General features: G+C 36.4%; 1 annotated feature.

The window, feature by feature from the left end:
* Positions 3,102-3,714: an enhancer, noted in NCBI's record as "H3K27ac-H3K4me1 hESC enhancer chr1:195065497-195066109 (GRCh37/hg19 assembly coordinates)". NCBI's record gives its function as "activates a minimal SCP1, AML or CMV promoter by ChIP-STARR-seq in naive H9 embryonic stem cells {active_cell/tissue: H9 hESC(naive)}" and the evidence as "EXISTENCE:reporter gene assay evidence [ECO:0000049][PMID:30033119]".

Here is a 10,869-nt window from a genome sequence, read left to right as displayed (position 1 = left end):
CAAGCAAATGCTAAGGGAATTTATCAGACCTACCTTACAAGAATCCCTGAAGGAAGCACTAAATATGCAAAGGAAGGACCATTACTAGCCACTAAAAAAAACCACACTGAAGTACTCAGACCAGTGACACTATAAAGTAACCACACACAAAAAAAAGAAAAAAACCTCTGCATAATAACCAGCTAAGAACATCATGACAGGAGGAAATCCACAAATATCAATACAAACCTTGAACGTAAATGGGCTAAATGCCCCAGTTAAAAGGCACAGAATGGCAAGCTGCATAAAGAACCAAGAACTATTGGTATTCTGTCTCTATTGGTATTATCTTGAAGACAGAATACCAATAGTTCTTGGTTCTTTATGCAGCTTGCCACTCTGTGCCTTCACACATGCAATGATGCCCATAGACACAAAATAAAGGGATAAAGAAAATCTACCAAGCAAATGAAAACAGAAAAATCAGGGATTGCAACCCTAATTTCAGACAAAACAGACTTTAAATCAACAGAGATAAAAAAAGACAAAGAAGGGCACTACATAAGGATAAAGGATTCAATTCAACAAGAAGACCTAACTATCTTCAATATATACGCCTCCAACACAGAAGCACCCAAATTCATAAAGCAAGTTCTTAGAGACCTTCAAAGAAACGTAAACTCCCACACAATAATAGTGGGAGATTTCAACACCCCAATGATATTATTAGATCACTGAAGCAGAAAATTAGCAAAGATATTTAGGACCTGAAATCAGCACTGAAATCAGACAGAAAACACTCCTCAACAAATGCAAAAAAAAAAAAAAAAAACTGAAATCTTAACAACCACTCTCAGAACACAACACAATCAAATTAGAAATCAAGACTGACAAATCCATTTAAAATCATACCATTAAATAGAATTTGAATAACATGCTCCTGAATGACTTTGGGTAAATAATGAATTTAAAGCAGAAATCAAGTTCTATGAAATTAATAAAAATAAAGGTACAACATACCAGAATCTCTGGGACACAGCTAAGTCACTGTTAAGAGGGAAATTTATAGCTCTAAATGCCTGCATCAACAAGGTAGAAAGATCTCAATTTAACAACCTCACACTACAACTAAAAGAACTAGAGAACCAATAAAAAACCAACCCCAAAGCTAGCAGAAGACAAGAAATTACCGAAATCAGAGCTGAACTGAAGGAGATTGAGGCACAAAATCCATTCAAAAGTTCAACAAATCCAGGAATTGGCTTTTCGAAAAAATTACTAAAATAGGTAGACTTCTTGACAGACAAATAAAAGAGAAGAGACAAATAAAAGAGAAGAGCAGAGAATATAAACACAATTAGAAAGGACAAAGACCTTATTACCACTGACCCCCACAGAACTATATGTAACCCCCACAGAGAATAATAGAAACAACTCTATACACACAAACTAGAATATCTAGAAGAAAAGGATGAATTCCTGGACACATCCACCCTCCCAAGATTGAACCAGGAAGAAACTGAATTTCAGAATGGACCAATGACAAGCTCCAAAATTGAATCAGTGATTAAAAAACCTACCAACAAAAAAAAAAAACCTCAGGGCCAAATGGATTCACAGACAAATTCTACAAGATGTACAAAGAAGAACTGGTACCATTCCTACTGAAACTATTCCAAAATATTGAGGAAGAGGGACTCTTCCTTAAATCATAGCCTCTCTGGCCAGCATTATCCTGATACCAAATCCTTGCCAAGACAAAACCAAAAAAAGACCTTCAGTCCAATACCCTTGATGAACATTGATGCAAAAATCCTCAACAAAATACTGGCAAAGCGAATCCAGCAGCACATCAAAAGCTCATCCACCACAATCAAGTAGGCTTTATCTCTGAGATGCAAGGTTGTTTCAACATATACAAATCAACAAATGTGATTCATCACATAAACAGAACTAAAGACAAAACCACATGAGCATCTCAATAGGTGCATAAAATTCTTCTGATACAATTCAACATCCTTTTCTGTTAAAAATCCTCAACAAACTAGGCATTGAAAGAACATACTTTAAAATAGTAACAGCCATTTAGGACAAATCCATAGCCAACATCATACTAACTGGGCAAAGAAATATGGAAGTATTCCTCTTGGAAACTGGTACAACACCAGAATGTCCTCTCTCACCACTCTTATTTAACATAATATTGGAAGTCCTGGCCAGAGCAATTAGTCAAGAGACAGAAGTAAGGACACCTAAATTTGAAGAGAGGAAGTCCAACTATCCCTCTTTGCAGATAATGTAATCCCATATCCAGAAAACCCCATATTCTTGGCACAAAAGCTCCCTAAGCTGATAAACTACTTCAGCAAAGTTTCACAATATAAAATCAATGCACAAAAATCACTAGTGTCTCAGGATATTTAGGGTGTCACTTTTCCTGCTAGAAATGTCTGTGGCTGGTGACACCTTTGCCTGAGTTTTTGCTTGAGCCTTCTGGGCTTGTTCTGCCCTCTCGACCTGGCAGGCTGTGGTTTGCTTGCACTGCCAGCTTGCATTCCACACCTGTCAAGGGTGAGTCAGGCATGAGTAGCGAGGGGTGTGTGAGTGAGTGAGCATGGGTTCTGGCCACTGCACACAGCCAGGCACACTGGCTGTTGTGGCGCAGCAGGCAGCTCCAGGGACCAGCACAGGCTCCTGCTCCATGCAAGGCTGCGGCTAGATCAAATATACCACAAGTGGCTTCTGTTGCAGGCACCTGTGTTTGGATGAGGGTAATGAAGTGGCACCTGGAACAATGGAGATACCAGGAACCACAGAGCTCCAAAGAAGGTGTCACAGCCCTGGCTCTGTGCCCTAGGTCTGGGCTCCCCAAAAGGCTGCAGATCTTCTCATTTTCTCTTCACTCACCACGTGGCAAGCTGTGGAGCATTTCAGTAGTGTTTGTGTTACAGCTTTTTCAGTGCTGCCATTCATCAAGTCCTGAGTTCTTGTCTTGTGCCCAAGAAGAATAAGGCATGCAAAAAATTGCAGGGTGAGCAAGGTGAAGAGGAGCTTATTGAGACACAGAACAGCTCTCAGGAGACCCATAGAGGGCAGCTCCTTTCCACAGACAGGTCATCCCAATGAGCATCCAGGTCTCAGCAGGGTAGTATTTAATTGAGTTGATTTTTTATGGTGTAAGGAAGGGGTCCAGTTTCAATCTTCTGCATACGGCTAGCCAGTTATTGCAGCACCAATTATTGAATAGGGAGCCCTTTCCTCATTGCTTGTTTTTAATCAGCTCTGTTGAAGATCAGATAGTTGTAGGGGCTACCCCGTAGTGGGTAGCCCCTTTCTGCAGGCAGTTCATCCTGACAAGTGGAAGAGATCCAAAGTGCATAGCTCCTTCCCACGGCTGGTAGTCCTGATGTTTTTCTGAGTCTGGCTGAATCTGGGGTTGTTATGGACTCAGAACAGAGGAAGTGCATGCTGATTGGTCCGTGGGTGATGATAAGCACCATAAGTTCTCACTCCGGGCCACAGACTTCACCTGGAACTGGCAGCCTGGCCCCAGGCTTCAGGCCATCCCTGGCTTGAAGGTGGGGTTTCACCTGGGACCTGCCCCTTTGTGCCCAGGAGCCTGTTTGCCTCCATCGCCATTAACATGCCAGCCACAGCGCCAAAGCTGTTCATGCTGAGGGGCACCTGCAGGCCCACGTTGAGCCACCCTCAGCCCCCCTTCAGGCTCCCTCCCATGCTCATTGGAGCTCAAAGTTCGGAAGGGACTAGGGTGGCAGGGGGCTCATGTGTCAGCACTGCCCCAAGCATGCACACACCCAGCCAAGTCGTGACAGTGCCCAGGGTCAGCCACAACTTTGCTTCACCCCAGAGCCGGCACCAGGAGCAGGGAGAGGCCAGGAAGCAGGAGCAGCCACTTTCAATCCTGCGGAGGCAAGGAGCTTCCTGGGCCCCCTAGAGTGCAGGGATGCCGAGGTCTGGAGCCATAGCTGAGCAGTTGCAGCTGTGCCTGGGAGCACTGGCTCCTCTGCTGCAGCCAGCGTCCTCACAGGGGCCGCTCCAGATGGGGCATTGCTGGCACATCACTAGTATTCCTATACATCCAACAACAGTGAAGCTATTGCCAAATCAGGAATGCGATACCATTCACAACTGCCACAATAAGAATAAATTATGTAGGAAGACAGCTAACCAGGGAGGTGAAAGATCTCTACCAGAACAACTACAAAAGACTGCTCAAAAAAATCGGAGATGACACAAACAAATGGAAAAAAATATCCCGTGCTCACGGATAGGAAAAATCAACATAATTAAAATGGTCATACTGTACAAAGTGTTTATACATCCAATGCTGTTCCTATCAAACTACCAATGACTTTTTAACAAGAACTAGAAAAAAAACTATTTTGAAATTCATATGGAACCAAAAAAGAGCCTGAAGAGCCAAGGGAGTCCTAAATAAATAGAACAAAGCTGAAGCCATCGTGCTACCCTATTTCCAACTGTCCTACATGGCTGCAGTAACCAAAACATCATAGTACTGGTACAAAAACAGACACATAGTCCAATGGAACATAATAGAAAACCCAAAAATAAGACCACACAGCTACAACTATCTGATCTTCAACAGAGCTGATAAAAAACAAGCAATGAGGAAAGGGCTCCCTATTCAATAATTGGTGCTGAGATAACTGGCTAGCCATATGCAGAAGATTGAAACTAGACCCCTTCCTTACACCATAAAAAAATCAACTCAATTAAAAACTTAAATGTAAAACCACAAATTATAAAAATCCTAGAAGTCAACCGAAGTAATATTATGGACACAGGAATGAGCAAATATTTCATGATGAAGATGCCAGAAGCAATTCTGGCAAAAGCAAAATTTGACAAACGGGATCTAATTAAAGAGCTTCTACACGGCTAAAGAAACTATCAACAGATTAAACACACAACCACAGAATGGGAGCAAACTTTTGCAAACTATGCATCTGACAAAGGTCTAATATCTATCATTCATAAGGAACTTAAACAAATTTACAAGATGACAACAACCTCATTAACAAGTGGGGAAAGGACGTGAACAGACACTTCTTAGAAGAAAAATATGCATCCAACAATCATATGAAAAAAAGTTCAATATTGCTGATAGTTAGAGAAATACAAATCAAAACTTTATTGAGATACCATTTCACACCAGTCAGAATAGCTATTAGTAAGAAGTCAAAAATAATAGATTCTGGCAAGGTTGTGGAGAAAAAGAAACACCTTACATGCTGTTGGCAGGTGTGTAAATTATTTAAAATATTGTGGATAGCAGTGTGGCAATTCCTGTAAGACCTGAAAACAGAACTACCATGCAACAGAGCAATCTCATTACCAGGTATATACACAAAGGAATTTAAAACATTCTATCATAAAGACATATGCATGCAGATGTTCATTGTGGCATGAATCACAATAGCAAAAATGTGAGATCAACTTAAATGCCCATCAATAGTAGACTGGATAAAGAAAATGTGGTACATATACACCATGGAGTACTAACTAATGAGTGCTAGGTTTAATACCTTGTTGAACTAATCTGTACAGAAGCTTTCTCTGGTTTGCAGACTTAATTAAACATTTTAGACATTTAAAATTTAAAGCTATTCTAAATTTTAAAAGCTTATGGAAAATATTTAGCATTATTTAGCCTATTCAACCGACCACTAAAAAGAATAAAAATAACAATATTTTTAATATCAAACTGCGTATATTCTTTTTTTTTTTTTTTTTTTTTTTTTTTAGAGAAAGAGTCTCGCTCTGTCACCCAGTCTGGAGTGCAATGGCGCGATCTCAGCTCGCTGCAAGCTCCACCTCCCAGGTTCACGCCATTCTCCTGCCTCAGTCTCCTGAGTAGCTGGGACTACAGGCTCCCGCCACCACACCTGGCTAATCTTTGTATTTTTGGTAGAGACAGGGTTTCACCGTGTTAGCCAGGATGGTCTCAATCTCCTGACCTTGTGATCCTCCTGCCTCGGCCTCCCAAAGTGCTGGAATTATACGCATGAGCCACCACACCTGGCCCAGACTGCTTATATTCTTAAAGTACCCATATGTGGTCTGCGGTCATGGTATATTATTATTTAACATAGTGATGATTACTATTTGCTAATATTTTGTGTTGTTGAATTAATATTTAAATATAAGCTTAATCTATAAATTTATTTTGAATACATTGGTATTTTTTCTTATAAAAATTGAGATATCCTTTCATCAAGCTCTAATAATTTAAATGTGACAGTCATACATCCACCAAGGGCTTACAAGTATTCACCTACAAAATAATTGAGTATAACTATTTTTATAATAACCTGTATAATATTTAATGGTCTTGTTATTTTGGAAAGTACAGTAGTAATCAGGCTGTAACACATTAATATTTTTTGAAACCCCTTTTAGGATTTTGGTTTCCCTTTATTATATATTTTTAAAATCATTTCAGTAATATGTGCTTTTTAAATGATTGTGTGTTTCTAAATATATTAACCTATTAATGTATAAATATATTCCCATATTAATTTTCTATTATGGCTATTGTTATTTTCTATTTTTTTATATCTCACAATACAAATTTTATCTTCGTTTCCTCAACTTTTGTAATCTCTGTAATTCTTCATTAGTTGAGATTAACTGATGATTGTCTCTTTTGTGTTTTTCTGCTAAATTTGTAAATACTATATTAATAAAATTTGCCTTTATTTTCTTTATTACTCATATATTCACTTGAAAATATGATTTTTGTTCTATATTTTGCCAGGCTATGCTACATCCTGGGAAGAAACGATCAACAAAATACGTGATCTCTACCTTCATGGAGCCAATAGTCATTTGCAAAAGATGGACCTCAATTAATTAAAATGAAAGGGAAGTATAATCTGTGGAAATCTTTTGAAAAAATATTATGGAATATGTAACAAGATCATCTAATGTAGTTAGATTAGACAGGTGAATGAAAATAAAATTAGATTTTATTTGTGCCTAATTTTTCAATACCATTATGGAAATTTTCTTTCTGGTCTAACACAGAATAAATTTTAGGAAAGAGGCCATGTGTACCAATTATATAAAAGTGGTGTCTTTTTTTCAGTTTGAAAATTTATAATTGTTCATTTTAGAGCATCTCTTTCTATCTTCTCTCTCTCTCTTTATAAATACACACACACAAGCACACACACACACAAACTTTTTATCTGCCTTACTAAAGTGTAATTTACATACAAAAAATTGAACATATCATGTATATAATTTGTTGGGTTAGAATATATGAATACACCAGTGGAACCATTAACACAATAAAGAAGATAAACATATTCATTACCTTCAAAAGTTTGTTTCTCCACTCAAACTTTTTTTTTGTGTGTGTGGTAGGAACAATGAACACCAAATGTAATGGTGATTACCAGGAGTGGGGTGGAGGGGGTCAGATGGAAATGTAAAGTTGTTGTTCGATGGGTATAAAATTTCACCTACACAATATGAATAAGTTTGAGAGATGTGCTTAGAATACAGTGCTTAAAATTAACAATATTTATTTTATATTGAACTCTTGTTGAATAGTTCACACAATTATTTTAACACCAGAATTTTATGTCTGTTGGGGTATATTTTGTGGTTTAAAATATCCCACTAGTATTGTTTTACCTGTTAGCATCTGTGCTGTATGTCATTTGATTCTGCTTCAATTGCACACAGAATTATATAATAGTTACGTTTGCTTTCAGAAGGATACACTTTATATTCCTATAGGGGGCCAGTTTGTAGACCAGTGGAACAGAAAAGATAACTCAGAAATAAATTCATGTATTTTCAGTCTACTTATTTTTGAGAAAGAAGCCAAGAATATCAAATTTGGAAAGCACAGTCTCTTCAATAATTGATACTGGGAAACCTAAATATCCATATGCAAAAGAATAAAGCTTGACTCCTATCTCTCACTATATACAAAAATCAAGTCAAACTGCACTAAAGACTTAAATGTAAGACAAGAAACTATAAAACTACTAAAAAATAAACAGGAGGAGCACTTTAGGACATTGATCTAAATAAAGTTTGCATGAATAAAACCTCAAAAGCACAGGCAACAAAACCAAAGAGGCAAATGAGACTACATCGAACTAGAAAGCTTCTGCCAGGAAAAAGAAATAACAGAGTGAAGAGAGAATTGCAGAATGGAAGAAAATATTTGTAAACTATTCATCTGACAAAGGACTAATATTCAGATGACACAAGAAACTCAACTCAAAAGCAAAACACACACACACACACACATACACACACACATAATTTGATTTTGAAATGGGCAAAAGATCAGAATAGACATTCCTCAAGAGAAGACATACAAATGGCCAAGTGTATATTAAAAAAGCTCAGCATCACTAATTATCAGGGAACCAGGATCAGATATATTCTTACCCCTGTTAGAATGTCTGTTAGCAAAAAGAAAACAAAATAGCAAATGCTTATGAGGATGTGGATAAAGGGGAACTCTTATACACTGTTAGAAGGAATGTAAATTAGTACAACCTTTATGGAAAACAGTATGGAGTTTCCTCAAAAAATGAAAAACAGAACTACCATATGATTCGGCAATCTCACAGCTTGGTGTATACTCAAAGGAAAGAAAATCAGTATATTGATGCAATATCAGCACTCCCATGTTAATTGCAGCACTGTTCACAATAGCCAAGATATGGATTCAAGCTAAGTGTCCATAAATAGATGAATAAATTAAAAATGTGATACATATATATACACACACACAACGGACTACTATCCAGCCAAAAAATGGAATTAAATCTTGTCACTTGTGACAACTTCATGAGCCTGGAGGACATTATGTTAAGTGAAATAAGTCAATTACAGAAAGGTAAATATCATGTGTTCTAACTCATTTGTAGAAGCTAAAAATGTTGATCCCATAGAAGTAAGAGCAGAAGAGTGGTTACTCAAGGCTGGCAAATGTGGGAGCATGGAGGTTGGAGAATTTTTTTAACAGATAGAAAATTATAAATAGGAATAAGTTCTAGTGTTCTCTAGCACTGTTGGGTGAGTATAGTTAATAACACTGTATTATGCGTTTTTAAATAGCTAGAACAGAGAATTTGGAATGTTTCTAATACAAAGAAATGATAAGCCTCTGAGGTAATGGATATGCTAATTACCCTGATTTGATTGTTACACATTGTACACCTGTATTGGAATATCACATTGTACTCCATAAACTTGTGTAATTATCATGTGTCAATTAAAAATTATACTAATAAAATAGAAAATGTCTTGGCTGTTTCTGAAAAATATCAAAATTCAATAAATTAAATGTTAAAATATAAGCTGAAGAAATCATGTAGAAAATGTTTTGAAAGTACAGAGAAAAATAGTAAACAGAAATTTAGCTGATACATATATAATCTAATAACCATCTTTGGAGAAGTGTGGAAAAAAACTGGAAATGAATGAAATTGTGAAAAACAGAAGAAAATTCCAAAACCTGTCTTTAGTTTGAAAAGTTATGCTGAGAGCCTAATATAACTAATTAAAGACAATAGCATACCTGAATATATCATTATGAAAATTCACTAGACTGAAGATAGATGTTAGCCACATGCAAGGGCACAGGCATGCACACACATATTTCTAAATGTTTATTACAAAAGAACAATAATCAAATTGCAATCTGACCTTTCATCAAGACAGGATGCTAGAAAACAATATCACCTTCAGTGTGTCAAGAGAAAATTATTTTTAAATTTAGAATTACATTCCATGCCAAAATATCAAAGAGCATATAAAAATACAGCAGACATTTTCAGACAATGAAGGGCTTGTAAAGTTATGTTCCAAGTACAATTTCTTAAAACTTACTTGAAAGTGTACTCCAGGAAAAGTTGACGATATAACAAGAAAGAGAATAAAATTGTTTTCAATATAGTAGATCAAGCACAGAAGAAAGACAAAGGGAAGAAACTGAAAAATATCTGCGTAGGTCATCTGGAGATCAGTGAATCTGAATTTGATTAGATGAGTGGAATATTATGAAAGCGATTGTATGGGGGAAAATTGTGACTAGCTGTAATGATAGAAATATTAGAAAATATCTGGTGTAGTATAAACCTAGAAAATACATTTGAATTCAATATTTGAAGCATTCTTCCTTGTATGACATAAAGATTTTTAAATGTGGACAATTATAGGAAAACATTTCACAATGAGTCTTGTTCTGAAGTGAACAACATTTACATGATAATTATAAAGCAAGGGCAAAAAAAGCAGATATAGAGGAGACAAAGGAAGAGAATTAAATAACTAGGAGTAGTAAAGCGAAGGGTGAGTGTTCTAAAATATCTTCTAGTAGTAACATTCTATGTATGATATAAAAAGAAATCCAGGTTTATGAACATTATTGTCATATGCAGGGATGACTATGGATGATTTTTAATATTTCTGTAATGTTGAGGAAGAGGGAGCCTGGAAGTCCTCTATCATATCAAGACAACTAAAAACATTTTTAAAACATTTAAATGAATATATAACAACAAGCATATTCTTTAGAAATACTGAATAGGCAGAAGCAGATCCATCTGGTGTATGTGAGTTGAGGATAAAGATATGCCAGGTATGGGTTTATTACTTCTCATTATAAGTTTTTTTGGATCATTTGACTGTTGAATCATGCACATCTATTACTTTGATACAAATTAAAGAATTATAAAAGAAAGTAAAGTATATCTATCTTTAGTCAAACTGTTCTAAATGTTTAAGCTTCTAGTGGTTCTGGCAATATGTTCTGGCTGACTTTCATCCACTGAACCTGAATACCTTTATTAATTAATTAATATTTGGTAAAGATGA

The sequence above is a fragment of the Homo sapiens genome, chromosome 1 (assembly GCF_000001405.40).
Source record: "Homo sapiens chromosome 1, GRCh38.p14 Primary Assembly".
Lineage (NCBI taxonomy): Eukaryota > Metazoa > Chordata > Mammalia > Primates > Hominidae > Homo > Homo sapiens.
Note: the sequence above shows the minus strand (reverse complement) of the source record. Positions and strands in the feature narration are given on the sequence as shown.